The 15,819-nt window shown below is 41.2% G+C and overlaps 1 long non-coding RNA gene and 1 pseudogene across 3 annotated transcripts in view; both read left to right on the top strand.

Annotated features, from left to right (window-relative positions):
- The window catches only part of LOC105376214 (uncharacterized), a 401,533-nt gene that overhangs the window by 341,722 nt on the left and 43,992 nt on the right, over nucleotides 1-15,819 (top strand). The window lies entirely within an intron of this gene.
- On the top strand, nucleotides 5,094-5,810 carry CHCHD4P2 (coiled-coil-helix-coiled-coil-helix domain containing 4 pseudogene 2; annotated as a pseudogene).

Raw genomic sequence — 15,819 nt, 5'->3', positions numbered from 1 at the left:
TTGCCATCTTATCCAGCACAGGGCAGAAGAGGCTAGATTTCAACTGTGGCCTTCAACCAAGAACAGAGGATTCCAGTCAGAAGGAGAGGTGTATCTGCCAGTGACTACCTTCCTCTCTGCAAAGCAGCAGGAACAGGGCCCAGAGAAATGCCAAAATCAGAACAAGCAAATAGACCAACCAAGCACAGTTCCTCCTTCTCGTAGCACAAAGTCCAGGATAAGATCTTCTGATCTCTCTGGATTCCTTCTCTCCTGTCTCTGCTCTGCCTATGGTGTATACATATAATTTTGCTTCTCAGCAATATCCTCATAAGCATCTTTTCTTCCAGAGTGAAGCCCACAGACTGCATTCTCCTGTATTTATCAGGATTAAACATCCTGTGCGTTCTTCTCTGCACCCTTCTGAGTCCCCTTCTCTGCACCCTTGTGAGTCCCCTACTCCCCAACATACACACACCATGCAAATAATTCTCCTTATTGTATCTGACTTCTTGGAGACACTCCTCAGCCATAAAATAATGAATGGCTGTTAATGGGATGATAGACATCCACTGTGCTGTGACAGATGGAAGGATTGGCTCTTCCAGGCTGATGCTATTGCATACTCCCTCCAAGCCAACCTCAGGGTAGTCAGAGTGATATTTTTTGAAATAGAGATTCTATCTTTTCACCACCCCCTCCCCATTTAACAATCTTGGATGTCTCCACAAAGCCTAAATAACAAAACCAACTCATTACGAGCATTCGTTGACCTTCATGCCCTCTGCCTAGTGTTACCTTCCATCATTCTCCCTGGGGCTCCCATTCCATACTTCCACACATCAACTCTCCTCATGTGGCTGTCACAGCAACCTTCTCCATGTCTCTCTGCCTTGCCAAGGCTGTTTTGTCTAGCTTACGTAAGTTTACACTTGGACACCTCCACCTGGAAAACAATGCCTTCCAGAAACATATTTTAGACCCCTTCCCTTCCCTTCTTCCCAACCCTCTCCACTCCCAGATGTAGGAATTGCTTTCCCTATGCTCTCTTAGCTTGTAATTACACTTATCTTTCATTTCTAAACTTCCAGATTAGGAGACCCTGGGGTATCAGATATAAATGAAGGGTCTGAGAGCCAAAATCAAATTATCATGGGGGGAAAGGGAGATGAACCAGCATATTTATGGTCACACTACCATCAAGTGTGGATGAAATGGGTGTGTGAGGAACAGTACCTAGAGTCAAGGTCATATTTAAGAGTAAGGACAGAAGTTCAATCCAAGGGGCCATAGACAGTCAGAAACCAGACACGCTAGAGTTAGATAAGAAGGGGGAACTGTACAAAATCATATCAGAATGTAGAGAAGGGAAGAAAACAATTGTGTTTGGAGGAGTTGGTTAAGTCAGCTTTCACCAAACCAAAGATGACATTTCAACTGAATTTTGATAAATTTGTATTTGTCAGTCTCAGAAGGAAGAAAGGATATCTCAAGCCCCTGTCATCAATGTTCCCAGCAGCCAGGGAGATAAATGGATGATCACACCAGACAGTGAGGAAGTAGCAGCTCTATTTATTTTCTGTAAAAATGTTATCACTGCAGTTTGCAATTTTGAAAACCATTTGTAATTTGTCAGCAGATTATATGGAAATAATGATAAAAATTATCTAGGGGTTTCCTTCAAGCTGATTCAAGCTTATGCATACTTAAGCTCATGGAGTCAGGAAAATTTATAAATTCTGATTCCAAAATCATGAGGAACCTATTGGGTCATTATGTTATAATGATAAATCTACTATTTATACAGAGATTTGCAGTTTGTTTTAAGAATAACAGCTGGCACTTTCTGTTTGTCTGTAAGTGTTCTCCAATGCGTTATCCTGTTTAATCCTTACAGCAATTTTGTAGCTAAGTCCTGATGTTATCCACATTTTACAGATAATGAAACTGAGGCATAGAGAAGATAACTCAGCCAAGACCATAACACAAGTATTTGAAACTAGGCAAGTTGACACCAAAAACTCAAGCTGTTGTTTGTCTATTGAATGCCCTCCAGCACTTCTTTACTAAATGAGGAAAGGGCAGATTTTGTGAAGGGAGTTCTTTGGAGGGAACTATTCCATTGAGTTCTTTTCAACTCCAGACGAGTGAGGGGGACTTCAGTAGGACCATTGCGGAGCTTTGAGTTTTGTTCCCTGCAGTGGGTTGATGTAGAAATTGGTGTCCCGCATTTTCCCACATGCCTGGGAATTCTAGGGAGTGAGAGATTAAGAGCTTGGGGCAGAGCCAGGAGAGAATGTTTGCTGTTATCAGTCTGCTTTCTCCGGTTGTTGGAACAAGGGATTTGTGGGTACTTTTTGTGGCCCAGTAGTGGGCCATGTGCAGGAGAAAAGCCTGTGTGTGCGTTTGTGTGTGTGTGGGTATGGGTTATGGGGGAGCGGGGAGGTGTATCTTTCCACATCTTCAGTAGTGTCATCTTGAGGTAGGGAAGGAAGTGGTGGTGGTAGTTGGGGAGATGGATATCTCTGCAATCCTAAGACTGAGGAAAGAATTGAAAGAGACCAGCTAGAATAGTGGTACATCCACTCCTGTCCAGGAACTGAAGGATAGAAGGGCCTAGGAGGGACCCTTCAAAGAACCCACAAAAATGCCCAGTAAAAAAAGAGTGAGCTTGTAGGCATCTGGATCTTGCCTGATCCAGAGAGCTCAGAATCAGCTTAGAATAAAATTCATTCCAAAAATACTTACCTGAATTTATCCCTCCTCTGTCTTCCTCCACAACCTGAGAACTTGAGGGAAATCAAAACAGAAACCAGTAAGGGGATTGAAGGCCAGAGTGCCCCAGGTGGAGGACAGATGGAGAAATGAAGAATCCAGCCATGCCCTTCATGCCATTGCTGGCTTCAAAGCCAAACAGCTCAAAATAAGAGTGGGGGAAGGCTTGACACTAACCCAAATTTGGCATTGTGATTCATTTCTGGGAGTGGACACATTCAAGTATCAGCATTGAGATTATGATTTCAAAGGGCCTGTTGCACTCTGACCTACGAGGAAGTGAACAATGAGAGCTGACTGGGGCAGAAGATTATCCCATTGAATAGTTTTTTTTTTTTTTTACGGAATCTTGCTCTGTCACCCAGGCTGGAGTGCAGTGGTGTGATCTTGGCTCACTGCAAGCTCCACCTCCTGGGTTCATGTCATTCTCCTGCCTCAGCCTCCCGAGTAGCTGGTACTACAGGTGCCTGCCACAATACCTGGCTAATGTTTTGTATTTTTAGCAGAGACGGGGTTTCACCATGTTAGCCAGGATGGTCTCGATCTCCTGACCTCGTGATCTGGCCACCTTGGCCTCCCGAAGTGCTGAGACTACAGGCATGAGCCACCGCACCCGGCCCCATTGAATGGTTTTTCAAGGTAGAGTAGGAATCACAAATAAAAGTGCATCCCTATGAAGCAAACTTAGAAGTTTTACTACCCAAAACTCCACTTTGAAAACACTCCTGGTAGAAATGAAATGAGCAGATAAAAACAAAAATAAATACAGGAGGGAACTTGAAGAGGTATAGAAAGGAGTGATCAGGTTACTTAATAAAGTTGTTGTCTTTTTTTTTTTTTTAAAGACAAGCACTAAAGAAAACATAAGAAAAACAGAATTATAATTTTAGACAAGTCACAGCAGAGGTGGGGCTGAGGGTAGGATTAAAGATAAAAGTAACATGAGAACATGCTGCACAACCTGTATTTTTATGAAAGACATAAATAGTAATACATTTAAAATACTATTAGCATATTTAAACATTGATATTAACAACGTAAACTGGAAAAGGGAAAGAGAAAAAAGAAACAACAGATGTTTTGCATTGAATAAATCAAACTTTGTATTTAAGAGTTTAATTGTATTTTATTGTCAAAAGCTTTCATAATAGAAAGCACACAAGAATGTAATATTACGGTAATTAAAATAGATGTAAATGGTTAAGCTCACCAATTAAAAGACAGAGTCTCCATTGAGATTTTTAAAAACACAAATTGTGTGGTCGACAGACACACAAATCAAAAGGATGCAAGAAAATTTCAAAATCTAAGGATGAGAAAAGAAATATCATGCCAATATGAAGCAAGTGAAATCTGGAATAACAGTCTTGAAAACTGTAGGGAAACAATATCTTAAAGAAAAATATTCTAAACCAACAGAGCAAGATGAAAGACCCATCATGAGCACATAGGCCTCTAAAATGTAGCCTCCAAATACATATATATAATTTATAAAACTGTGAGAAGCAACACATATAGCAGCAATTATAATTAGAGATTTTTAAACACCTCTCTTTAAAAAACACAACAGATGAAATATCCAAAAATCAATAGGTGATTACCTGATCTGAATAATACAAGTTCACTAGCCAATTAAGAATATATCTTATACTTAAGTAAGGTTTTTGGGGGGAATGAATGTATGTTTTAACATCAGATAATCTATAAAAATAATTTATCTGTATCAATATATAAAAGAAAACTGCATATGATTACCTGATACGTGAAGAAAATCATGTGATATGTTCAGTGTCTACTTCTGATCACAAGAGAAAACAAAAACAAACATGAATTTCAGCAACCAAGGATAAAGGTTTCATATCAAAAATCTATTGCAAACATCATACTCATTGGAGAAACTTTAGATACATTCTCTTGAAGATCACATAGAGATGAAGGATGTCTCCCATCACTGCTACTTTTAAGACAGAGTAGAGTTTCAGAATTGAGGCAGGGCCTTTCAGAAGATGATCAGCTGATGTTCAAGAGGGAAAAGGTTCATTTGTGGAAGAGTCAATGAGATGCAAGAAAGGGATCCTTGAGCATCAGTTTACTGATGGTCAAGAGTCCTCATGTCCTTTATTGGTTCTGCATTAACTGATAACAGAAAGTGCCTCATGAAGGAGCCAAGTCAAAAGGGAATGAGGGTGAAGGTGTGTGGACACTCACTCTTGGCCGGGGGCTTCACCTTCATTACCTCATGCAGTCCTCTCAATAACTCTGCCAGGGAATGGCTATGATTTAATCCATTCCACAGACAAAAAAAATTGAGATCCAGGAAGATTAAGTAATTTATCTCCGGTCTGCACAGGCCTCAGAGGCACCTGCCCTGCCTGAGGAGAGGGAGGTCATCGCGTGAAGCTGCAACAGCCACTGTTCCTTCTATGAGGTCTAAGGGCTGGGCTGCAGCCATGTCCTACTGCTGACAGGAACAGAAGGATCACATCATATTTGTGACCAAAGAAGACTACAAAACTCCAAGCATTGCAGAGCTGGTGGCTGATGACCCCAACGATCCCTCCCTAGGAGAAGCATGGATTGATGCTGCCAAATGGGAGACTTTGGCACTGCCTCTTCCTTGGGGGAATGGCCAATGGCTCCTACAGGGAACAGTTCAAGGCAGCCTTTTCCTGCTTCCACCATAACATGAGCAGGTCAAGGGGTCAGACTGTGTAGACCAGTTCCGAGCCATGCAGGAAGGCAGGCAGGAATATCCAGATCTCTATCCCCAAGAAGGGGAGGAAGAGGTAGAGGAGAAGCCAGCAGAACATGTAGAAGAAACAGCTCCCAATGAGGCTACTGCAACCAAAGAAAAGGAAGGGTCAAGTTAATGAAGGCCACATGGCCCTGGGCTCCAGTCCTTCCACTTCAAAGTAATACAAATCTTTTGCAAAAGACCTTTTAGTCACTCTCCAAGAGAGCCTCTTTCCCTCTGTTGTCCTGTGCACTGTAATATACAAAATTGCTTATTTTGATGATCAGAGGTTTTGGCCTCTTGACATATACACTAAAAAAAAAAAAAAAAAAAAAAAAATGGGAGTTTTAAGTGTGCATGTCCTACCTAAACCTGCCAGCAAATGTAGCCACCACTTTTGAATTCTTCCTCAGATTGCCTTGAATTTTTGCCACTTTTAAATAATGCGCTGATTTTCAGCAACTAAAAATCATTATCCAGCAATGTTTCTTGTGTGTGAGAAGATTTATTCTCCTTCATTATATCCCATTTAGTAGATTGTATACCCCTTTGAGAAGTAATGCAAGTAACAGAAACAAAAATATCTTCCTTTAAAAATGCTAGGCTGGGGCCCTATCTACTAGAAGAGGCCAGATGGTCAAATATATCTTTCTCCAAACCCATCTTGACCTTGTGTATATGAGGGGGTACTGTACTTCATTCCTGATACATTCTGGTTTCCATGTTGGCATTGAGTTTCTGGTTTTCTGTGTTTGGATGGTGAAAATTTGGACCCTCCCAATCATAGCCCCTTTCTAAGTGAGGGGAGAGGCTGGTTTTTGCTGTTCCTTATTATTCTGAAAGCCTTGGTTTGGGGCCCATGTTCACACTGGCTCTCAGTCTGGTCAGATGCAGTGTTCTTGATAGGTGGGGGCATAATTATTACCAGAGTAGCAACCAAGAGGAAAAAAAGTTGTGAATTAAGTATTCAGTTAAAAGGAAACATGATTTCTACCTGGAAAAAAAAAAAGTAATTTATCTAAGATCAAGGGACAAGACTAGTGAGGGTTTGAGATTAGGACTCAAATTGGCCTGACCCTTGCTTGGTCCATAACAATAAACTGCCCTGTGGAAATAAAGCATTGTCACAGTGAGAAAGGCAATGAGGAATGGAAAATGGTTAAGTAGAAACAAAAGGAGAAAAAAGACAAATACAGATGGTGGGCTACCTCCCTGCTCCCCTAACATACCCGACAGAAATCAAAGGTTTCAACCACTGGAGCACACATTCAGGGTCACTATCTTTTCATTATTACTATTATTATTATTTCAGGATCCCTTTTGTGAAGGAAGTCTGCTCCACAGCAGATAAGCTATTACACAGTTATAGGTATGTTCCTTACAAATCTAGGAACCCACAAAGTCCAATCCCAGATCAATTTCACTTCCAAGGAAATACTTCTCCAACAATTCAAAGCAACTGTGGCCAGGGGCCATAATCCCAGGCTCACACCCATAATCCCAGAACTTTGGGAGGCTGAGGTGGCACATCACTTGAGATCTGGAGTTCGAGACCAACCTGCTCAATATGATGAAACCCCATCTCTACTAAAAATAAAAAATTAGCAGTGTGTGTTGGTCTTCACCTGTAGTCTCAGCTACTTGGGAGGCTGAGGCAGGAGAATCACTTGAACCTGGGAGGGGGAGGTTGCAGTGAGCTGAGACTGAGCACTGCACTCCAGCCCGGGTGATAGAATGAGGCTCTATCTCAGAAAAAAAAAAAAAAAAAAAAGAAAAGAATAAAAGAAAAGCAACTACAATGTTACTCAAAACCTCTATTTGCATTTCTTAGAGAACATCAGTGGGACACCATTCCTGATCTTCTATAGCTCTGAATGACTTTCCCTTATTCCTCACAGATTCCTTATATCCCAGAGCAGCTTCCCATCCTGGTTTTTTTTCTGACATTTTCCCACACAACTCAGCCTGTGTGTTTCTTTCTCTTTGTCCCCAGGGAATGTTTTCTCATTCCTTGATTATATAGATTGTATAGATTGACTTTGTCTCTCTGGTAGAAAAACAGGAGTCCTGAGAAGATGGACGTGGGGAAGCAGGGGGCAGTTCTAGAATTCCCTTGAGTGGCAAGGGCAGGTAGGAAAGCTGTGAGAGCAGTTATATGACCTTCCTTTCTGCTTCATCAAGGAGACAACATCCTAGAGTAAAAGGAGATTTGCACAGTTCTGACCTGGCTGTGAGTCCCAAGTGTGTGACCATGGATAGGTGATTCCACCATTTTAATCTTGCCTTTAAGGACAGTATTAACCACCATCACATCACAGACCTGTGAGGATCAAATGAAGCACGGAGGGTTTTCAAAGTGAAGTTTTGTGTGGTAAAACTACTGAGGTTTTGAATGCCTGAAAATATCTTTACTGTCCCATCACATTTAAGTGAAAATTTTGGAGGTTATAAAATTCTAGCATTAAAGTTATAGTCATTTAATACTTTAAAAATATTGTTCCATCATCTTCTTATACCAGTGGTTAATCTCTGAGTCTTGTCCTTTTGCAAAGTGATAAGTTCTTTTCCTCTGGAAGCTCATAGAATTTTCTCTATGATGTTTTCAAATTCCATTAAATCACATTTATTTGGGGTTTGAAATCCTATTTGACACTTTGATTCCAAAGTCTCTCTTCCGTATTTCCTTTGTTTCTTCTTTTAGAAAATCTATCTTTAATATTTTTTCCAAGTATTTTCCTCCCTTTGTTGCTGCCTCTACTTCTCTATTTCTTGAACTTCTGTTATTCAAATATTGGCAGTTCCATTTCTATCTTCCATATTCCTTAATGTTTCTCCACTCTCCTTCATGATGACTTTTAGAAGGAATCTGATCCCCACGCCCAATGAGTCAGTCTTCTGATGTGTTTATTCTGATGTTTTTCTTTAATAGACGTGTCCAGTATCTTATTTTCTTTATTTTAACTATTGCACTTTTAAATTCTAAAATGATTACTTGGAATATTAATCCTTGGTGTGTGGTATACAGAGACTCAGGAATGCCTTTTCAACCTACAGGCCAATTCCTTATGGGTAGATGGTTAGAAAGTTAATTAGTAGCTTAGAAATCATTACTCTGTGGTTACTGTTGTTAGACTTTGCCCAAGTCATTCACCTCTCTGAGTCACAGTCTCCTCATCTGTTGGATGGGGATAAGAAAAGCCCCTCCCATTCCACCCCAGGTGGCTCTGTGGATAAGGGCTGTGGTGAGGCTGAGTGAGAGGTAATTTGGAAAGTGACCAGAACTATGCAAATAGTACTGTCAGTAACTTGGCCCAGCCATGATCCCAGAGCTTCATGCCTTTGTTCCTTTGGTTCTTCTCTTGGCAAGTTGAATGGTGGCCCTTCCCCAGAGGCAGCATCAAAGCTGTCATGACCTGTAAATGTAGCAGGTCAAAGTCCCTGGAATAAGTGTCATACTCCATAGGTCTGTACCCTGTCCTTCTGTGCTCTTAGAGTTCCAGGAGGCCAGGAGGGTGCAGGCTGTGTCTGGATTCTTTACTGGCCAGAAGCCTACAGTGCTTACACATACAGCCCTTATTCACCACCTCCAGTCTCAGCTGGGTCTCAACAGAAAGCATTTGCTTTTATTACTGGAAATCTGCAGGCTGAAAGATCTTATCTATTCACCTTCTCCTCCCTGGGTATATGTACAAAGGATGAGGAAGCTCAGGCAAATGCACCAGCTATGGCCTGTGGGGCTATAAAAAACAAATAACCCCCTAAGGCAATATCAGCATTTCAGGGCTCTATGCACATACCTGGATGAGCTCTGAGAGATCCTGGGCCGTTTAACAATTGATAACCACAGAAAAGAGAACCCCAAGGAAACTGCTGTCAGCTTATGTAGAAATTCCTGGAAAGGGCAATATTGATGACGCTCCCTCCTCTTCTCTTTTTATTTTTTATAAAATGAGTTTGACTTAGCACTAATACAGCATGAGATAATTAAAAGAGAAGAGACTTTGGAGTCATGAGTCCTGGGGTGAATCTTCACTTCATCACTGGATAGCTGTGTGTCCTTAGACAAATCACATAACCTTCCTAAAGCTCATTGTCCTTACTTGGAAAGTGTGACCATAATAACTGATACATTTTTGAGTTGCTGAACTAAATGAAATATATGATGGCATAAAATTAAAACTAATGATCAATGTAAACAAAATATTGGAAACTATGAGAAGCTCTGTAGTTTTGGCTGTCATTAGTATTGCTGGCTAAGTCCTCAGCAGGATGTGAAATTTAATAACTAGATTTGTTTGATAGTAATTGTGCCGGGATGACTACTATACTCTAAATTTTTAAGTGTGTTCCTCAGGTTCTAAAACTCATGTATCTTCCCATGAGTCCATAAAACAGAATTTTTTTTTTTGAGAGATAGCTATGTTCTAGGCACATAAAAACCCTCATTACAACTCCATATGGGAGATGTTGTGCTTAAACTCCAAGATGGCCCCAGTGATCTCACCTACTGGTATTCACTTCCTTGTGTGGTTCCCCCTTCTACCCTGTGTTAGGATTGGTCTCTGCAACCAACAGAATATGGAAGAAGTGATGGTATGACACTTCCAAGATTAGGTTACGAAAGACCCAGTGGCTTCTGTCTTGGTGGCTACCTCTCCCTCCCTCTTAGATGGTTTTCTCTGGGGAAAGCTAGCTGCCATACTCTGAGAGGCTGTCATGGAGAGGAGCTGAGAGTCTTGCCAACAAGTATATGAGTGAGCTTGGATGTGAATCTTCAGCCCCAGTCAAGCCTTCGGATTATGACAGTCCTAGTCGACAACTTGACTGCAACCTTATGAGATACCTCGAGCTAAAACAACCCAGCTAAGCTACTCCTGGATTACTGACCCTCAGAAACTATGTGAGATAGTAAATGTTTGTTGTCTTTAACTACTAAGTTTTGAGGTAATTTGTTATGCAACAGTAAATAACTAGTATGGGAGGTACAATATTCCTCTTTTATAGATGAGAAAACTACAAATCAGAGAGGCTAAGTATTTTTTCCAAGGTCATAGAGTTGAAAATACAAGATTTGAACCAAGTCCTTCAGACTTCAAAACCAGCATGACCTTACCACTAAATATGCTGCCTTCCTGAAATGGAAATACACTATTTTCCGGAAAAGAAAAAAAATAAGAGAAAAATTCAACTTTTTGAAGATGACATGCTGTTTTTATATATAGTTTTTATAATTATTCTCAGTAATGACTCAAAGAAAAGTTATTGTGAGTAATGAATATAAACTAAATATAAAACAGATTTGAGGGGGAAGAATAGATTGTTCTCAACACAAATATTTTGCTATCTACTGAATGTCAAGGTGTGGGAATAAAACTAAATATAATAAACATGGTTCCTATTCCCATGGAGCCTGCAGTCACCTGTAGAAAATAATTGAAGGGAAGGTTACAGCTGACAAGACAGTATAGGACTTTGGAATCTGGCAGAATTTGGTTAAAATCTATCACTTAGTATCTGTGTGATCCTGGGCAAATGACCGATTGCTTACTCTGCCAAAGGCTGTGCTAAACTCTTCAAGTTTGTCTTCTCCTCCAGTCTTACCAAGTTCTCAGCACTTTTTATGCATTATTCCACTTAATCTTCACAACAATGCTTTGAGTAAGTATTATTACCATAATTTTTACGAATTAGCACTTATCTCATTGGGTTGTTAAGAGACTTAAATTATATAATGCATATAAAGAGCTTAACACAGTGTCCAGCTCATTGGTAAGTGTTGACTAGGTGGTTGTGACCCAGTGTGGTTAACTCTCAAATCGGACCCTGAGAACGGGTATGTGTACTAGTAGTTTATTTGGGAAAAGATGCAAGAAGCTGTGAGGGAGTGGAGATGGGACACAGAGGGAAAAAAGACCACTAATGAAGGATATGTTTATGGACAGGTAACTCCTCTGGGTAACTGGGGCTTAATCCCATTGAAATTCTGAGACATATCATAGAGCATACCTCAGAAGGGGCCCACTAAAATGAAGAAGATGGGCTATTTATTCACCAACTCTTAACCCTCATTGATTGAGGTTAACTTTGCAGTGCTTCTAGCCTGCCCTAAGTGTGAGTCAAGCATGCTCTGTGATCAAAGAGCATCTTTGAGGGCAGGTGCAGAGGCTCTTGAGTAGGGGAAATGTCTTCAGATGACACAGGGGTAGTCCCAGAGAGCATGTTATGAGTAGTTATTAATATTACTGTTACTGTAATATCATAGGGATGGATAATATTGTGACAAGGATATGATATACATTGTCATGGAGCACAGAAGAGGGTCGCTTCCCAGACTTGGACAAGGAAAGTCTGGACAGGCTTCTCAGAGATGTGGGGTCAAAGGGAGAAGAATAACTGGGGGAGAAAAGAGAACAGAGGAGTGTTCTGGGCAGACAGTAGTTTGTGCAAAAAGTCTTGTCAAGGAACGAGAAAAAGGAAGGCTTATTCTAGAAAATGAAAGACATTTGAAGGCCTGAATTTTGAATTGAATGAGTCTTGAGAACTACTTTGGAAAGGTCGGCAGCAGTCAGATCAAGCAGCCCTCATAGGCCACATTGGGAAGTTTAGGATTTCTCCTAGGAGCACTGGAAAATCTTCAGAGGATTTTCAGCAGATTCGTACTTTGACATTTCACTCAGGTCCGCATAGGGAAAGTGAATTTCAGAAAAGAAAGAAATTTGAAAGCAAAGAAACCTATTAGAGAAGCGGCTGCAGTGGTTTAGTCAAGAGTTAATGTGACTGGGCAGAAATGGAGATGATGAAGACTTGCTAATGGACACTCGCATTTGACACAATTTGAGGGTCAGGAATTTAGCTTATCTGAAGTTTCTGACTTAAGGTTTCTTCTGAAGTGGTATCAGAAAGTCAATGAAAGTTGCAACTGAAGATGTGACGTGCTGGAAGATCTGCTTCTAACATGGCTCCCTCACATAGCAGTTGGCAAGAGGTCCCTGTTCGTGGCTGTGTGGGCCTCTCCACAGTGCTGCTGGATGCCCTCATGACATAGTCTCTTGCTTCCCCCATTGGGAGTGATAACAGAGGCAGAGAACAAGACAGAAGTCACTGTGTCTTTTATGCCCTGCCCTCAAAATCACACTCCATCATTTCTGAAATATCCTACTGGCTACTCAGGCCAGCCCCATCCAATGGAGGCAGAGTCTGTAAAAGGAAGTGAATACTAGAAGGCTAGGAAATGAGGGCTATCTTGAAGGCTGGCTGTGACAGTGTGACTCCAGCTCCCAATGGTTCACATGCCTCCCACATCCAAAACACATTCGCCCCTCCCCAAGGCTCCCCAAAATCTCATTCTATCCAATCAGCTTGAAGTCTGGAATCTCATCATCTAAATCAGGTTTAGGTGTCAATACATCTTCTTGGGTATACTTCTTTACGTATAGCTCCTTGAGTACAGATTCTCCCAATTTGAACTCCTGGGAATGAAAGAGACAAATTATCTGCCCCTGACACAGTGGTGGGACAGACATAGGGTAATGACTATAGACACTCAAGAAAGTTGTCACCAGAGCCATTCTGAAGTCTAGCTGGGAAAATGTTGGAATTTTCTTGATTAGTGGTCAGTCTTGCTCATAGAGCGGAATGACTGTCCATGGTTCTCAGATTTGTCCTATTGCCAACTTGCATTGGGTATGTAGCCTAAACAAATAACAAATATGTGTCACTGAGATCTTAAGCGGTGTTTGTTAGTGCAGTTCAACCCATCTTGACTAGTAGAATTATTGCAGGGGGGAAAGGCATTTAAAGGGAAGAAAGAAAAAGAGAAGTCTGTAGAGGCAGAGGAAGTGAAGTTGGATATGTGGCCGAGGAGAGAGGAGAAAACCCCACAAACTCCAGGATGAAGGAAGGGAGACTTTAAAGAAGTGGGGAGTATCACATTCTTTTGAAATGTCAAATTAAAAATGCCTTGGGAATGATTAGACTTTTAGATTTAGGAAAAAGATGGTTTGAGGAAACAATGGCAAGGAATAATTTCAGTAAAATGGAAAGACCAAAAATCAGATTACAATGAACTCAAGAGTAAGTAGGAGGTTAAGAATTAGTGGCAGAAAGTATTGGCTGTGAAGGGTGATAGCTGGGGTGAAACATGGGTATTGGGGAGTTTTGTTAAAATGGGAGGGAGTGAGCATTTTTAAGTTTATATAAAGGAACAAGGAAGCAAAAAAATAAAGAAAACAGAGGAAAGATGAAGTCCCTGAGAAAGCAACAGGGCATGCATGGGGTCTAGAGATAGACAGAAGGAGGGGCACTTCAGCCATAATAACAGGAGAGGAGGAAAGGGTGGGCATTTTCCCCAGAAGTGTCTGGTGTAGATGAGGAAGACTGAGGACAACCTGGCGTGTTCAGATTATAGCAAGAGGTTCTTCACAGATGGAGGGCTGGCCGCCCTGGAGGCCAGTGAGGGGAAGCCCATGGAGGGAGAATGAGAGAGTAGGAGAGGAAGCTAGGTAGGGAGGAGCTAACACCTGAGGTGCTAGAATGATAAGCTTAGATGTCATACATAATGCAGATTCACTTAGAAATTTCAAGCAGCATATGGGACTAACCTTGAAGACAGGATTGGTGATCGATTACACAGGAGGACAAGGGAGGAGCAGACACTAATATTTGTAGTAGCTTGGAAGGCTATGGGATGTTGACCTAACAAACAGGGACTACAAAGAGAGAATCAGGATTCGACATTTATTTTGGCAACCCTGGAATGTATTTAGAATTGCCGCAGAGCTGGGAGAACCAGGCTCCACGTCATTAATGTAAAGGAGGCCCAGCAGCTCTAGGTTACATAGTCAGGGTCTGTCAAAGCCTCCAAGGCCACACTGAACACAGAGCAAGATGCTGATGCTGAAAATGGCCTTTCACATCACCAACAGAATTGGAGGTCCCCTTGCGAGTGAACCTTTCCTACATCTAGCTGGTGCCCACGAGAACTAAGGGACACATGTAATCCAGGCAAAGTTGTCAGTTTATAAAGATGGGATCTCTGAATGTCAGAATTGGAAGTCATTTTATAGCTGATCTAGCCCTGCTGACAGTGGAAAAGTGGGGTGATGGCCAGGTATATTACCTTGGGGACTTCACTGACTACCTGAGCCTCAGATTCCTTTAGAGAATGCCTATCTAAAGAGGTTACTGTAAAGACTAGTGACACTTCTGGGTTCATTATTTATATAGTATTTACAATGGGCACTTTTTAAGGCATTTTACAAATGTTAACTAATTCAACCCTCACAACCATTGTATGGAGTAAAACTATTATCATCCCTATTTTAAAAATGGAAAAACTGAGTCCCCAGGAGGAGAAGGGACTTTGCCAAAGCCACCTAAGTATTTAGAGGCAGAACAAGGACCAGCACACAGGACTCCTGACCTCAGGACCGGTGCCTTTCATGCTTTCAATGGAATAAACACGAACGTTGCCAACTGCATCTTCATGTACCTGTACACGGCTTGTTTCCAGGATGTGGCTTCTGCCCGAGGAAGTGCTGGGAACACTGTGATGTTACACAGAAGCTTCTATTAGTGTTTCACAAACATCCTCTTTCCAGGCCCTTGGCCAGGTGTGTGCTAATGTTGTTCACTCCAGTCTGTGCAGGGAAATGGATACCCTAGAGGCTGCTGGCATCACAACAGTTTCTAAGATTATGGAACCTCATGTCCAGAGAGAACCACCACCTGGGGTCTACCCTTCCTGACCTTGGTAATCTTGAAAGAACTGTTTCTGCACTGAATGTTTCTCATTTCTTTCCTTAATTAATTTGTTCATTCATTCATTCATTTTAAGAAAGCCACCGGCTAGAATTATGGAATTATAACAGTAATTTCAAGCAATCAATATCTTCCTGCTTATATGGTAAATATGAAAATTTGGATTCTTCATTTGTTTCCTGCAGAAATAGAAAGTCGGTAACTTTAGCTTTTAGGTACAAACCAAAAAAAAAAAAAAAAAAAAAAAATAGAATCTCTGGGTTAGAAAAACCCAGTATCTCAGAGTCACTAGAATCAACTAACACAGGTTGCCAGGGTTGTTAAAAATCTTAAACTCTATCTGGTCCAATTGCCCATTTGATGCTCAGCTCTTCTCCACCCCTCTGTTGAATGGGCATAAACCAGCAATTTGCTCATTGCTTCCAGGGATAAACACTTCACTGTCTTATGAGTTGGCCAAATCTCCATCTGGAAATCTCTGAATGCTAGAATCTCTTCATTATTCTGAGGCCAAAGATTTCTTTCTGCAATGTCTACCTACTGGGACTAGTCTCAATTTACTAACTGAGTGA

The sequence above is a fragment of the Homo sapiens genome, chromosome 9, assembly GCF_000001405.40.
Source record: "Homo sapiens chromosome 9, GRCh38.p14 Primary Assembly".
In the NCBI taxonomy this organism is placed as follows: Eukaryota; Metazoa; Chordata; class Mammalia; order Primates; family Hominidae; genus Homo; species Homo sapiens.
Note: the sequence above shows the minus strand (reverse complement) of the source record. Positions and strands in the feature narration are given on the sequence as shown.